Consider the following 17,098-nt stretch of genomic DNA (forward strand, 5'->3'; position numbering starts at 1 on the left):
TACCCAAGGAGACTGCAGGCCACAAGCACTGACAGCACCTGGCAGTACATAATATCTCACAACTGTATTCCTACCCAGTTCAGGGTTGCTGGATTTCACAAAACAAAAATGTGTGTACTATTTGGGACATACACTAAAAACTCATTTGCCATTTATTTGAAATTCAAAGTCAACTGGGCATCCTGCATTTTATCTGGTAACCCCAACCCAACTACCTAGGGCTCTGGGTGAATGCTACCTTCCCCAATTTATAATTCCCTTTTGCCACACCTCCAACAACATGATGATACCATTGAAAAATAGAATATAGTTCCAGAGCACAGATCTGGCAATTCTTATTTATTCTTTTTTCAGACAGAGTCTTGCTCTGTCGCCCAAGCTGGAATGCAGTGGCTCAATCTCGGCTCACTGTAACCTACACCTCCCAGGCTCAAGCAATCCTTCCACCTCAGCCTCCTGAGTAGCTGGGACTCAGTGCGGGCCATCACACCTGGATAATTTTTTGTATTTTTTGTAGAGACGGAGTTTTGCCATGCTGCTCAGGCCAGTCTCAAACTCCTGGGATCAAGCAATCTGCCTGCCTCAGCCTCCCAAAGTACTGGGATTACAGGTATGAGCCACCCCTCCTCCTATTTCTAATACTCTTATAGTACTTGTAACCATATTATTGCAATCGAGTCGAAAAAATAGTGAAACTAACAATGCTATCAGTATCTAACTAATGTCCCAGGGATGATTAAGAAGTCAAAACCTTAATTTTTAATAACATGGGTAGATGGACAGCCTAGCATAATGGCTAAAAGCCAGGGCTGTGAAATCAGACTCCCTGATTTTGGCTTTGCTATGCAATGGTTGAATGACCTCTGTAAAACCTCTATTTCCTCATCTGTAAAATGAGATAATAATGGTCCTTACCTAATAGGTTATTGTAAAGATTAAATGGCGTGTTCCAGATAGAGCATTCTTGATAGATTTCAATAAATGTTAGCAATTCAAATTTCATAATAATATCAAGAAGGGTTTCAGGAGATAAAAATATATCAGGGGTCTTGTTTACCTGCCTTTGCAACTGTGCGTAAATACTTCCAGGAAGGCCAGCACTGACTCTGGTCATTACTCCTATTCTAGCTCCAGAATCTGTCCCAAGATATGACCCTGTCTCGTAGGGCTGGTTGAAGACCATTTAGAAGGGGATAGTCTCTGAGCAATGGTTCAAAAAGCCAGGTCATCCAGGAAATCCCTGTTGAGAAGCTCCAAAGACCCAGTTGGACATCATTCCCTGCCATACTTGCCTTTAAAAATGTATGGTTCGTTGTCAGGCAGCTGGTGAGCACCAGGAGCAGTGGTCTCTGGTCTGGGCACTGGGACAGGGGGCCTGCTGGCCAGGTCCACAGAAAAGGCCTCATCGTCATCCACCGTGTGATAAACATCTTCTTCCTGACCAAGATGGCACTGATCTCTCTCCAGATTGGTCATTCCCATGCTGTTGCCTAGAAACGCAGAGAAAGGTGACTGAAAGCAGTGGCCAAACAAACTGGGTGATCATCAGTCATAAAGCAGAGTGAGGGACCTTACTTTGTTTCCTCAGTGCTGCCCCCTGGCAAAGGACTTTCCCCAATATCACTTCCTGTATCGTCTGCTCAGAACACCACACAAAGCAACTGAGAAAACACTCATGTCACCTCCATTGACACCCAGCGATGCAGTGAAAGGACATGAGCACAAGGCTTTATCATCTCTGTTTTACTGCTGGGATTCAGTTATTCATCCCATTAGAACTAGGGAAAGTCCTAGATGGGACTAACTGTCAAAGCCCTAGTTAAGAAAGGTGGGGCGTTCACTGCCAACTGTCCAATAAAAGTGGTACTTCTTATCTAGGGCTTGAAACAGACTGCCCAAGACTCCCCTCTCAGGGAAACTTTTCATTCTAGAGTTGGGGTCAGCACACATTTTTTTAAAGATCCAAATAGTAAATATTTCAAGTTTTGCAGGCCATAAAGTCTGTTGCAGGTACTCAACTGCTCTTGTGACATGAAAGCAGCCATATATAATACTAAATAAACGGTCCTGTTGTGTTCCAATAAAACTTTATTTATAAGACAGGCAGATGGCCAGGCTGTGGTTTGTCTACCACTGCTTTAGAGTTTTTTCCTTCCTCTTCACTGTGAAAATGACTTTTGTCCCCTTCTGAGTCCCATCCTCTTAGCACTCTGCTTTCTATATCTACTTGATCAACAGACCCCACCATACATTGCAAATGATTGGACAGGGTTAAAGAATTACCCACGCAATTTAACATCCTCCACCTTTGAAACCTTCAGTAATAATAACAACAATAATAAATCTTCATTAACTGCTTGTTATGTGCATGGTGGTGCTCTGAGACCTAATGCATAATAACTCATTTAATTATCACAACATTTATCTCATTTTACAACGGAGGAAACTGAGTCCCAGAGGACTTGAATAACTTGCCTAAGGTTTTCCAGCTAACTGGATGGGAAAATTGAGAATAGATCAGAGTTAATCTTCCTAACCACTATACAACACAGCCTCAACTTAGTATCTTTGTTTATATTTGCCTCCTTCACCAGCAAGTAAAGTCTCCTGAGGGCATTGATCATATCTTATTTTCCTTTGTATCTCCAGCCCCAACATCCAGAACAGTGATTTGCACATAGTAAGTACTCAATAAATTTTGGCCAAATAAAAACAACAGATGCATTTAAAAAAAACTAGAGGCAACTTGTTTACCCAAACAAGTGGCTCCACTGGTTGGAACTCCTGGCCCACCTCTAAAGGGCTGACGGGGGAGCTCAGGGTAGAGGGGTCGGGGGAGGCAGAGTGCCTTTATTCACATCACATGCCATGTATGCAGCAGCCCATTCCTTGAGGGGAGCAACCCTCATAGAGAACCAGACAATGTCTTGCATTTGTTTCTCTTTTGCTCTTTTGGCTTCCCTGCTCATGGCTATGACTTACCTTCTAAAAACTTGCGGATCATAGAGTCCTTAGTGGCCCGAGAGAAACCATCTCCAGGGATTGGGTTAGATGTACTGGCCTGAAGCATTTCAACATCTAGAAGGAAAAGGAGACTAAGAGTTATATATTGGTCTCCTCCACAGGCAAGGAGATTTTTACAGATGGAACTATGAGGTTTGGCAACTCTCTTAAGAGATTCAAGCATTCATCAATCTATCCATCCCTCCATCCATCCACCTACTCAAGGACACCCAGTAAGTGTGAGGCATAAAAGAGAGCAACGTGCCCAACCCTCAGGCTCTTCCTTGCACCACAGGTCTCAAAGGGTAAAGATATGCTTATTTGCATTTGAAAGAATGGGTTCAATTTTGACATACTACATCATCCCATTGTTTATTACAGAAAAAAATGGAAGCAGGAATACATTGTGTTTTATATATACATATAAACATATATATACACACACACATATATACACATATATATATATACATATATATATATATATATGTGTATATATATATATATATATGGCAAGGTCTCAGGCTGGAGTGCAGTGGCTATTCACAGGCACAACTACAGCACACTCCAGCCTCGAACTCCTGGCCTCAAGCCATCCTCCCGCCTCAGCCTCCCAAGTAGCTAGGATTACAGAAATGCACCACCATGCCTGGTTTACAAATTGTGGTCTATTCAAACAATGGAACATTATGTAACAATTAAAAACAATGTACTGAAGCTATTTCTATCAACATAGTTACTTTTCAAAAACATAATGTTGAGTGAAAAAGTTACAGACAGGTGTCATGGTATGATATTGTTTATATAAGGTTCTAAGGCCTACAAAAATATAGTACAAATTGTTTATGAATTCATAAATATGCAGTAAACACACAAATATGCTGGGAATGATAAATAATGAATTTCTGGAAGTGGTTTACCTATGGAGAGGGAGAGAGGATAACTGGATTCCGGAGGGGGTTAATAGAGGACTATAACTGGAACCATATTATTTAATTTTAAAAAAATCTGACATAAAGGAATAAAAAGGAAATACATATTCTTGAAGATTCTGATGAATCTGAAGATTCAGAATCTTCAAAAAATACAATATACTAGATAATTAATATGCTACCCAAAGGGGGCAAAATTAGATTCTATTTTCATATTTGCTTATATACATAAAAAAGAAACTCTGGGCCAGGCATGGTGGCTCACAACTTTAATCCCAACACTTTGGGAGGCCAAGGCAGAAGGATCACTTGAGCCTAGGAGTTCGAGTCCAGCCTACGCAACACAGTGAGACCCCATCTCTACAAAAAAAAAAAAAAAAAAAGACAGAAAAAATTAGCAAGGTATAGCGGCACCTGACTGTGGTCCCAGCCACTTGGGATGCAGAACTGGGAGGATTGCTTGGGCCAAGGAGGTCAAGGCAGCAATGAACTGTGATCATGCCACTGCACTCCAGCCGGGGCGATAGAGCAAGACCCTGTCTCAATAACAACAACAACCAAAAAAAAAAAAAAAAAAAAAAAGAAGAAGAAGAAGAAGAAGAAGAAGAAAGGAAAAAAGAAAAGAAAAGAAACCCTGGAAGGAGATATAAGAAATTAATATCAGTGGTTTTCTGGGAACTGAAAAGATGGGGATAAGTAATACAGAAAGATATTCCACTGTTCATCTTCTTATATTTTAGCTTTTCAGCCTATTCGAAAAAATAAAGAAATGCAGTATTCTGACATGTTTTTGTTACCTTATTATCCAAAAAACACACAAACAAAAAACAACCTCCTTATTTCTACTTCTTCAGTTTATGTCTCCTGGCATAGTGGACGCGTTACATAAATATAATGTACCTTGATGTCCTCCAGTTCAGGGCACTACGATTCCAAATGAGGAACCAGTAAATGAATCCCGCCCGCCTGTTCTTGTCACCACTGAATTCCATAACAGACTAGAAAGTTTAGGGTAATTGTACTAATCCTGAAGCATACCTAGAGATGCATTCATTATTTTAAACATATTCTGATAAGAACTCACGCCTAATTCATTCTTTAAAAATTCAAGACCAGAAAAATTCTACTTATATGAGACTTTCAGTTTAATTTGCTTAATTGTGTTTCACGGAACATTTTCCTCATGGAGTTAGAAAACTGGAGGCCGGGCACAGGGTATCACACCTGTAATCCCAGCACTTTGGAAGGCTGAGGCAGGAAGATCGCTTGAGCCCAGAAGTTCAAGACCAGCCTGGACAACACACAGAAACCCTGTCTCTATTAAAAAAAAAAAGAAAAAAAAATTGGCTGGGCATGGTGGTGCAGGCCTATAGCCCCATCTATTCAGGAGGCTGGGGTGGGAGAATTGCTTGAGCCCAAGAGATCTGGCTGCAGTGAGTTAGGATCACGCCACCGCACTGCAGCCTGGGTGACACAGTGAAACCCTGTCTCAAAAAAAGAAAAGAAAGATGGGAAGGAACACATATTCTACAGGTGTGTGCCCTGCTAAGAGCAGGACCCTCTTCTACCTGACCAAGACTCTGTACTGCCTTCCTTCTTCCCAATTCTTACCCCAATCTCCACTCCCACCTGCCTGACCTTGGGCCCAGTTAATTTTTGAAACTTCAGTTTGAAACTCATCATTAACCCAACAATGAAGCACCAAGGAACTTACCCCCAAGGGAAGACATGCTCGGGTCAGACACCCCTAAAGATGAGGGGAGGGAGAAACTCCACAGCCCTGTGGTCCAGCTTTATACTGCCCAGTGCTGAACCCTCTAGAAAACCATACCTGTCTCAGGCCCCAGCATCTCCAAGAACCTTCTCCAGGGCATAGCAACCTCAGGACCATTTTAATCACTAATCACCAAATGTCCCAGGCTGATAATATCAGAGTGCAAACCTCACACAATCTGTCAACCCTGTTGACAGAGTGGTAAAAGCCTCATGCAATGGTCCAGCTATTTTCACTAACAACGTTCAATTTGAGAGAGTTGATTTGCATGTCGGAGAGGTAGGTGCAAAACTGAAGGAGCTATAAAGAGAATTTAGGGAAATAAAATGTGGAGGAAAATAGTAGAAGGAAGAGCAGTCCTGGCTGGGCCTGGCATGCTCATATATATGGATGCAGACTTCCACTTTGGGTACTATAACCCCTTTCCTAATGTGCTCATTTGGGGAGGAGTTAAAGAAAGAACTTAAAAAGAGAAAAGAACAAGCCAGGTGCAGTGGCTCATGCCTGTAATCCCAGCAATTTGGGAGGCCAAGGCGGGTGGATTGCTTGAGGTCAGGAGTTTTGAGACCAGCCTCATGGCAAAACCCCATCTCTACTAAAATACAAAAATTAGCTGGGCATGGTGGAGCGCACCTGTACTCCCAGCTACTCAGGAGGCTGAGGCAGGAGAACAGCTTGAACCCAGGAGGCGGAGGCTGCAGTGAGCTGGGATTAACACTACTACACTCCAGCCTGGGTGACAGAGCAAGACTCTGTCTCAAAAAACAAAACAAAACAAAAATAAAACAAAATAAAATAAAACAGAAAAGAATGAGCACCAGTAATGAGACTTAAGAACATCATGACTCCTTCCACCAAGAAGGGCATCATTTCTATGGCATTCTTGACAAAAATTCATAACCTCAGCCCAATTATAGAAAACATCAGACAAACTCAAACTGAAGAGCATTCTACAAAATAACTGATCAGTGCTCTTCAAAAGTATCGAGACAAGGAAAGACTGAGGAACTGCTGCAAACCGAAGGAGACTGAGAAGAAATAACTAAATGCATTGTAAGATCCTAGAAAGGAGCACGGAACAGAAAAAGAGTATCAGTGGCACAACTAGAGAAATTTGAACAAGGTCTATAATTTAGTTAGAAGTATTGTGCCAGTGTAATTCCCTGCCTTTGGTAATTGTACTATGGTTATGTAAGATGTTAATACTACGGGAGCCTGAGTGAAAGGTATGTAAGAACTCTGATGTTTTTGCAACTTTTCTCTCTAAAAGTATTTCAAAATAATTTTTTTTTTTTTTTTACAAAAAGGAGAGGAGGAACCACTATAGCAAAACTAAATAATCATAGCTCCTGAGGATGACCCCATGATCCTCCTTTCTGTCTGCCTACACTATCAAGCTAAGTACCTTCCACAGACACTGTGGAGCACATGTGTGTGGATGCAATGATCGAGATGGTGCTAAATGAACCACTTGTGAAAAACAAATATTTTTACTTTACAGTCACACCTTAACTGGTGGTTAAGAGCAAGATTTTGGAAGCAACAATGTAGGTGGCTAAATATCAGCTCTGTGACTTGGTAGAGTTCTTTGGCCTCCTTGAGCCTCCCTGAGAGTGTCTCACAGGATGATTAGAAGCGTGGGCATTAGGATCGCAATGCATAGGTTCCAATTGTGTTTTTCCCACTTCTGGCTGTATTGACTACACATCCACCAGTCCAACACCAACCAGTATTTTTAGGTTCAATCGAACATTCAGACTCACAAGATGACCCTGGGACATGCTTGGCACCAGTCCACTCACAAAGATAAAGGACACAAGCTAGCAGGGCAGTGAAGAGAGCTGGTCTTCCTTTGAGCCAGTCCTTGCATCTGATCAGCAACTCAGATGCAAAGAGACAAGATCCATAGCAGGCCACGCTGGTGAAAAACCTCATGTCCTACAAGAGCAATTTCTCTCATAGCAACTCCAGAGGCGGAGCTTCCAGGGTCACCATGAGAGGTATGCCAGAGTCAATGCCCTCAGGAAAGCCCAAAGAATGCTGTCCCTTTCAAGTATTTCTAGTTCCTGTACAGATCCTCCCAGTTCCAGATGCAATTTACCAATCAGGAGCCATTTTTATTGTAGGCAATGTTGCCTGGAAACATAGTTGACATTTGGCTCTTACCAGGTTACCGGGGTAACAGAGCTAGGAAGTCAACTGAAGGTCAAAATCTTATGCAGAAAGGGAAATTATAGCTATTATATTTTCTCTTTGCCCATAATTATCTTGGGCCAAGTTTTTAAAATCCTCTCAGCTTCTCTCTCTTCTTGTCTGTAAAATGGTGATAGTAATAGTACGTATCTCCCAGGTTTGTCATGAGTATTAAATTAGGAGGTTGCCAAGTGCTTAGCACAGTATCTAGCACATAGGAAGTGCTGAAGGAATGCTAGCTACTATTATTACTATTATTATTATTTTTATTGTTAAATTCTATACCCAGGCTAATGTCCTAAACAGAGAACAATTCAAAAAAGAGGATTCAATTTACACTTCTTTAAACAGGACCTTTATTTGTCTGAACCCAAGTTTTCTGCCTTCAAAGTAATGAATGCTTATGAGTTCATTGTAATATTTGAATTTCTACACATATTCTCAAATACTTCATTATTATATTTAGCCTAGTAAAAACTATGCCTACTCAATATATTTATATTTGAATATACCTAAAGTAAGGGAGGAATCTTCAGACAACAAACATCAATTCTTTACAATAGAGTTATTTATGGAAATCTGACTCACAGACAAGGCTAGCCAGGTGCATTTTCTTTATCATGGCTTCTGGACACTAAGTACTGGCTTGATAGAGCCAGCAGGCTTCTTCCCTCCTTGGTGAAGGGTCTGCCACTGTGGTCCAGACCAGACTTGGAGCTCCCATGCCCATTTGCCTTACACTTCCCTGACACCTATCACACTCTTTATTGGTGGCCCAAAAGTGAACACCAAGGGGCAATTCCAACAGCTCTTTCACCCCTGCTGGCACCACTCCGTGCCACCAGGACCATAGCGAGAGGCCAACCTTCAGGACAGAGCCTAAAGCCAGACGATCCGAGGCACGGCTGGAAGAACATGATGGGGGCAAAGGTGCAGGGAGGAGAGAGGGGGTGGTCTCCAGACACAGGGGAAGACCCGAAGTCAGGAGTAAAGGTACGGACAAGGGCTAGAGTCAATTGAACAGACTGCATGCAGGGAACAAACTTAAGTCAGAGAAAGGCAGCAGCTGAAACCAGGCAATTAATAGAGACCCAGGTGATGGCCACTGAGCAACCAGTGCAGGTCGGCATCACGATCAGAAGCATGGACTTTGATATCTTGGAGACCTGGGTCCGAGCCCTGGCTCTGACTCTTACTAGCTCTGTGTCCTTGGGCAAGTCACTTGACATCACTAAGTTTCTATATCTCCATCTGTAAAGTGAGGATAAGTAACAGTACCTACCTCATATGATGATCATTGGGGCCACAGGAGACAATGCTTACAAAATGCTTACTAACAGTGCCAGGCACTACATTTTCATGGGTATCATTATTATTATATTGAGGCAACTTAGTTGGTATATTAGTTTTCTGTGGCTGCTATGACAAATTACCATTTAAAACAACTTAAATTTGTTATCTTAGAGTTCTGTGGCTCAGAAGTCTGAAATAGGTCTCACTGGGTCAAAGTCAAGGTTTTGTCAGGGCTGCATTCCTTTCTGGAAGCTATAGAGGAGGATCTGTCTCCTTGTCCTTTCCAGACTCTAGAGGCCACCTGCACTCCTTAGCACTAGGCCGTCTTCTGCCATCTTCAAGCCTAGCAATATTGGGCAGAAAGCTTAGCTGAACTGAGTCCTCCCACTGATGCCGTCTCTCTGGTCTGTTTTCTGACGCCCTCTTCCACTTTTAAGGACCTTTTTGATTATATTGGGCTCACCAAGGTGATCCAGGATTTTCTCCATATCTTGAAGTCAGCTGATTAGCAACCTTGATTCCATCTGTAATCTTAATTCTCCTTTGCCATGTAACCTAGCATACATACAGATTCAGGGGCATTATTCTGCCTCCCAAGAGGGACCCAAGCATCAGGCACAGTCAGCTTGCCATGAATTTCCTTCCCATACTGGGCCAGTGAAGGAAAGAGAGGACAGAAATTAGGGCACACTCAAGTGAGTCCATCATGTTTACACACAAACTGGGTAGCCTTGTTCTGATATAGACATTATTGAGTCTCTAGATGTGCACTGCCTTAAAAGAAGTTACCCAAAAATGATTTTTCCATTTATATTATAAAGAAAATGATTTTTAAAAATCTTTAGTTGAACATAAATATCTTTGTAGACCAGGAACAGCAGATGCCATACATGGGCCTCCGTGCCCCTATTCCATTTTCGTGGCAAACATCACTACCAATCATAGCATTCTTTCTGTCCTTTTCAACACAGCACCCAGGCACTCAATACTGGCCAACTGGGGCCAGTATTTATTACAGGTGCGCTGACTCATGTCTGTAATCCCAGCACTTTGGGAGGCCAAGACAGGAGGATCACCTGACGTCAGGAGTTCAAGACTAGCCTGGCCAACATGGCAAAACCCCATTTCTACTAAAAATACAAAAATTAGCTGGGTGTGGTGGTGGGCGCCTGTGGTCCCAGCCACTTGGGAGGCTGAGGCAGGAGAATTGCTTGAACCCAGGAGACAGAGGTTGCAGTGAGCTGAGATTGCACGACGGCACTCCAGCCTGGGCAACAGAGCGAGACTCCATCTCAAAAAAAGAAAAAGAAAACTAGGCCGGGCACGGTGGCTCACGCCTGTAATCCCAGCACTTTGGGAGGCCGAGGGGGGTGGATCATGAGGTCAGGAGTTTGAGACCAGCCTGGCCAACATGGTAAAACCCCGTCTCTACTAAAAACAAACAACAACAACAACAAAATTAGCCAGGCGTGGTGGCGTGCACCAGTAATCTCAGCTAAAGAGAGGATAGGCAGGAAAACTGCTTGAACCCGGGAGGCAGAGGTTGCAGTGAGCCAAGATTGTGCCACTGCACTCTAGTCTGGGTGACAGAGCAAGACTCCGTCTCAGAAAAAATAAATAAATAAATAAAATAATACAAAAATTAAAAAAAATTATAAAAGAAAAAAATACTGGCCAACTGGCCTTGGCATGTGAAATTATTTTTAAAATGCTCTTTTCCATACCTAATTAGGCACTAAGTCCTGGTAGTAGCACATATTATCTTTGTAATAACACTTTTTTAAAAGGTACCTGGTTACCTGGAGTTAATGAGTGATAAAACCCTCTCAGGCTCTAAATATGACAACCCCACATGTACACATAACCCGGGCATACAGTGAACTACACAGAAAACTCTGTTAAGTGAAGGGAGTCTGTTTCTAGACAAAGAGCATTTTGGGAGGGAAATCAGAACAAATCCCTGCATTCCTGGATGCTCAGGGCTTGTACTTCAGATCCCAAGCACTTAAACTTCATGACTTGCAAATTAAAAATAAACCAACATGTACTGAAACCTGCCGGTCTGAGGAGAAAGTGCAAAGTTCTTTCATTTCAGCAAAGAAAAACAACAACAATGATAAGGAGACTCTGGGGCCACAGCCTCCTTCTGGAAAAGCCAGCTATAGAGTCACACTGCACTGTACTTGAGGAGTCAGCCAGAAAGAACCCACTCCTGGAATGCAAGAAGCTTGAACAGTGAGAGAACACCCAGGCAGGCACTTAATTAAAGAATGAATCAACAGCAATAGTGAATTCTCAAAGACACCCATATGATACTCCTCCTGGGACACAGACCACTTAGCTGCAGTGGAAACTCCATCCAGATTATATGCTGTTAATTTAATAGAAAACCAAGTGAGTATATAACACAGTGAAATGTCAGCTACTGAAAGACTATTCTTCTAGAAAGGCTTTCAAACCCTGAAAGTAGGCCAAAAGAATTTTTTTCTCCAGCAAGAATCTTTTGTGGCCAAAAAGAGAGCCTTAGAGCAAGGAGCATCGTAGCCAAACATTTGAAGAGAACCTGGAACACAATGGGTCAGTTTGCCTCCAGGTAGAATGGTTTGACTGACCATGTCAGTAAGAAAGTCTAGCTTTTCTGTACCCTAAAGAATTAATGGGATGGAAGAAAGAGGGAGAGGAAGATGTGGGAGAGATATACAATCACACACACACACACACACACACACACACACACACACACACACTCTGTGATAGTTATTTTATTTTTTGATTCAGGGTCCCACTCTGTCACCCAGGCTGGAGTGCAGTGGTGCAATCACGGCCCACTGCAGCCTTGATTTCCCAGGCGATCCTCCCACCTGAGCCTCCTTAACTACAGGCATGCACCACCATGCCTGGCTAATTTAAAAAAAATTTTTTAGAAGTGGGTTTTCGCCATGTTGCCCAGGCTGATCTTGAACTACTATACTCAAGCGATCTGCCCACTTTGGCCTCCCAAAGTGCTGAGATTACAGGCATGAGCCACCATGCGTGGCCTATGATGGTCAATTTTGGGTGCCAAATTGACTATATTAGGAAATACCTAGAGTGAGGGTGTTTCCAGAAAAGGAGCATGCGAGTAGAAAAGATCCACCCTCAAGGTAGGCAGGCATCATCTAATCAGCTGAGGGCCCTAATAGAGCAAAAACAGACAAAAGGCAAACTGGTCTCTCCCCAGGGGCTGGCATACACTGCCATACACTCTTCTACTCCTGGTTGGACATCAAACTCCAGGCTCTCCACCCTTTGGACTACAGGACATACACTAGCTGCTCTCCCCTTGGGTTCTCAGGCTTTCGAGCTCAGACTGAGAGTTACACAATCAGCTTCCTGGTTCTGAGGCCTTTGGGCTACGTACTTTGGACTTCTGAGTTGATGCTGGAACGAGTTAAGAGTTTTGGGGCAACTGGAATGGAATGAATGTATTTTGCATGTGAGAAGGACACAAATTTTGGAGGCTAGGAGCAGAGTGCCATGATTTGAATGTGTGCCCCAAAATTTCATGTGTTGGAAACTTAATCCCTCCATCCTCATGAATGGATTAATGTTGCTATCGTGAGAGTGGGTTTGTTATCACAGGAGTAGCTTTGTTGTAATAGCAAGACCTCTCTGGCTCTCCTGCTCTTGCCCTTTTGCCATGTGAATACTTTCCACAATGTTATGATGCACAAGATGCCAGCACCATGCTCTTGGACTTCCCAGCCTCCAGAATTGTGAGCTAAATAAACTTATTTTCTTTACAAATTACCCAGTCCATGGTGTTCTGTTATGGCAACAGAAAACGGACTAAGACACACACACAGACACACACACACACAGACACACACACACACACACACACACACGAATAGCAGTGTAAAATTAGAGGGCTAATGAGTGATGGCTGGCATTGGCAATGAAGAAGGGGCTGCGGATAAATAGTTTAGGAGAAGCTGCAAACAAGTTCTGTGGTTTTCTTATGCAGACAAATGCCTCAGTACAGTACCCCTGGCAAGCACAAAGACCCTCTGCCATGCAGGAGTGAGTCTATGGGATGCATTTGTGGTGCTGTGCAGTGAGTCGCACGCGGTAGCCCACCTGAACACAGTCCCACCTGCATTCTCAAAGCAGTGTCTTTTTCCTCCACAGCACTGTCACAGTTTGTGGTTATATATTCAGTTATGTGGTGTTTTTGTTTAATATTCAGCTCTCTCACTAGAATGTAAGCTTTGAAAGGCAAGTTTCATGCCAGCTTGTTTACTGACTCATCATCACCTGGCACAGCGTGATTTAAACACATGAGAGGTTTGAAAAATATTTTTGAATGAATGAATGAACGAACTAATAAAGGAAAAACAAATGAACACATGAATATGAAGGCATTTGGGCTTTGTGAAGGAATCTGGGCATTTCTCAAGCCGAGAAAAGAGAAAGGCAATTTAGGCAGAAGGAAGAGTCAAATGCAAGGGAACATGAAAGAAAAGGCAGCTTGTAGTGACCAATGGAGTTACTGCCACCCTGAGATGTCTCACACTCGGGGACACCTAACAGATGTCTCAGTACCACCTATCAGGTGGGTGAGGTCTTTACACTGGAATACTGACACACTATTCCACCCACAAAGTCGAGAATTACATCTTATTTTCTGGTAGCTCAAATTCAAGAAATCGCTGAACACCTATTGTGTACAGCACTGGGATAGGCACTGTGGATGATACAAAGCTGTAAGACATGCTTCCTATCGAGGCCAGGAGAGGGTAACCAGAGAAGCACGTATATAACTAGAGCCCAAGGGGATGTGTGTGCAGTGTCCCAAGGTAAGCGTGACCTGCAAGCTGTGCAGGTTCAGAGGGGAGCAAGGTTGCTGCTGTCGATGGGGATTTTATCTTTAAATGTTAAAACATTCAATCCAGTGTGCTTTCACTAAGTCCCTATGTCCCCAACATAGTTCTTGTATTTATGGAGGAGCAAAAAGCAACAGGAAGTCAAGAGGTACACTGAGCTCATCTCCCTGCTCCCCAGTGGGTTCTGTCCTTGCAGGTAAGAACTCATGCTGTGCACCCAGGCCCACGGGCCTTGAAGCATCTCTTGGCTCTACTCGCCAGAATCTTGCCAAAAGGGATGGCAGGAGGATGACAGAGCCTCAGCAGTCACAGGGAGGGAGGCTCCTGAGAGAAAAGGATGCAGATAGGAGAGACAGTATGTTTCATAAGCAAACCAGTAATGTAGTCATTTTGCATACAAATTGTCCTTCAGTTGGTTTCAGACCTACAGGGCTGGGCTGTGAGGTCCTTTACAGTCCCCAAGTGTGCCCCCAGCTCAGATGGAACCCAGCTTGCAGAGAGGGGCTGTAATCAGAGAGCTCAGGTAAAGAAAACACTGCTGGAAATGATCTGTTACAAAGATGCCAGTTACCAGGGAGGTTGCTAAGGGAAGCTGGCAAGTTAGCTAGAGCTAAGTCAGCTCTCCACTACATAAACACTTGAGCTACAGAACCATGAGGTAGGGATCAGGGGTTCAGAAGAAAAGTTCAATGTAGGGGTAACATGAAGCAGAACAGTCCTCTGGGATTGATTAGTGAGTCTGCAGTTTCTAACGGCAAGATGATAATGCCTTTCTCTTTTCGCTCCTTTCGCTTTATGGAAGAAAAATGAGGCTCTCGGGTATTGAAGCAAAGCTACAACCCACAAAGCAGATTACCCTGGAAACAGACTGGACAAGGGCCTCCCAGAACTGCCCCCCCAAGGCCATTCTACCCAGAGCCTCAGAGAAGTGACCAGTCACTGGGCAAGCTTTCAACACAAAATTAATTACCTAGGTCCAGGGACCACCAGGACTACCATATCATTCTCCAAGGTAAGGGCAGGGGACAAAGAACTAAGTGAGAAAAAGATGAGGAGATAGTGAAAACACCCACGGACATTTGCCTTGAGTTTTATTTAATGTTTGCATAAGCTTGTCCTTAATAAAGACATTTTATCTCTTACATAATAAGGTGTGAAGGTTGATGCTTTAAATATGTGGGGTCTTTTTTTTTTAATTTTTGAGACAGGGTCCCATTTTGTTACCAGGCTGGAATGCAGTGGTGCAGTCATGGCTCACTGCAGCCTTGAACGCCCAGGCTCAAGCGATTCTCCCACCAGAGCCTCCTGAGTAGCTGGGACCACAGGCATGTGCCACCACGCCCTGCTAATTTAAAAAAAAAAATTTTTGTAGAAACGAGATCTTGCTATGCTGCCCAGGCTGGTCTCGAACTCCTGGGTTCAAGCAATCCTCCCGCCTCAGCCTCCCTAAATGCTGGGATTACGGGCATGAGCCACCATGCCCGGCTGATCTGTGGGGCCTTGATCAAAAAATTCTTAAGAGAATTGGGAGCAAAGCTGAAGGTTTGATAACAAGACACGTAGTTACCACCTGGTGGCAGCATATCTAAACTAAAGACTTGTGAGTGTGCCGTGTGTGTGTGTGTGTGTGTGTGTGTGTGTGTGTGTGTGCGTGTGCATGTATACACCCACGCAAGCAAGTTCAGGGGAAGAAGAGATTGGAGCAGAATTGTACAATCTCAGGGTCAGAACCCAACACCTCTCTCCAGCCCCATTTCAATTAACACTGGGAGCTTCCCCTATAAGCTTCCAACTCAGGTGGTTGCCTTGGATTCTCTTTGGAGAAGCAACCTCATTACCACCCCTTTCCCAAACTCAAGTCAGAAAGATTTGTCCCAACAACAGTTAGGTGATCTCCAAAGCAGTGATCTGAAAGTGGCCTAAAGCCTGCCACCCTAAAGCCTGTTTGTCCTGTGAGCGAATCAGTGAGTGAGCAAGTGAGTGAATGAACACAGCCTAATTTCCTTAATATGGTTATTTTCAGCCTCCAGGGTTACCACAGTCAATGGTGGGGCACTGATAAACGTGGCAATCTAGACATTTAGAAATAGCTCCTGTGTAAGTGTCCCTCTCAGGGCTGACAAATGCAGACCCTAGAAGGGCAGGCCAGGAGAGCCCTACATTCCAGTGGGACAGCAGACAGATTTGCCTCCTGGGAATTCGAAGACACAGATTCCTGATCCAGTCCTCCCTTGATGGGACTTAAGTAAGTTACTAAATCTTGGAGCCTTAGTTTTCTTTCCTGTGAAATGGAGATCATCCTATTCACTAAACCCTGGGATGGTCAGATGAGATCACGGGGATACAGGCAGTCCATGGACTTTTAAAGGGCTGCCAGATGTTCCAAGTTATTATTCTGCTGGGCGGTGCTGCAAATACGCATTTTAGATTTAGCAGTTTGTCCTTTATCCTACTTCTTTATGAATTAAGCTGCCTTGTCACCTACAGAGCCACTGTTAGTAAAATAAATTATTCCTCCCCAGGTCCAAGTTGCTGCTGCTTCTGAGCCAGGAGGTAAGCGATCATTCTCAAGGTTAAACTTGACGCCACAGAGACAGAAACACAAACCAAACCATGTCTAGAGTTAGAAAATTCAGAGTTCACATAACTGGGGAAATGAAAAATGTGGGCCGGGCATGGTGCCTCACGCCTGTAATCCCGGCACTTTGGGAGGCCAAAGCAGACGGATTGCTTGAGCTCACAAGTTCAAGACCAGCCTGGGTAACATCACAAAATCCCATCTATATGAAAAATACAAAAAATTAACTGGGCATGGTGGTTCACACCTGTAGTCCCAGTAACTCGGGAGGCTTAGGTAGGAGGATGGCTTGAGCTGGGGAGGCAGTGGTTACAGGGAGCTGAGATTGTGCCACTGCACTCCAGCCTGAGCAATAGAGCCAGATGTTGTCTCAAAAAAAAAAAAAAAAAACAGAAAGAAAGAAAGAAAAAAAGAGAAAGAAAGAAAGAAAGAAAGGTAGAAAGAAAGAAAAAAAGGAAGG

General features: G+C 43.5%; 1 protein-coding gene across 4 annotated transcripts in view; it reads right to left on the reverse strand.

Moving 5' to 3' along the window:
• The window catches only part of PIK3AP1 (phosphoinositide-3-kinase adaptor protein 1), a 127,200-nt gene that overhangs the window by 32,101 nt on the left and 78,001 nt on the right, over positions 1-17,098 (reverse strand). For all 4 annotated transcript variants that reach the window (XM_011539248.2, NM_152309.3, XM_047424566.1 and 1 more), the window contains 2 exons: positions 2,983-3,078; positions 1,293-1,490 (listed from right to left, as the gene is read on the reverse strand). In XM_011539248.2, coding sequence (XP_011537550.1) covers positions 1,293-1,490; positions 2,983-3,078 — 294 coding nt within the window. The remainder of the gene's footprint in view (positions 1-1,292; positions 1,491-2,982; positions 3,079-17,098) is intronic.

Source organism: Homo sapiens, chromosome 10 (genome assembly GCF_000001405.40).
Source record: "Homo sapiens chromosome 10, GRCh38.p14 Primary Assembly".
Taxonomy (NCBI): Eukaryota; Metazoa; Chordata; class Mammalia; order Primates; family Hominidae; genus Homo; species Homo sapiens.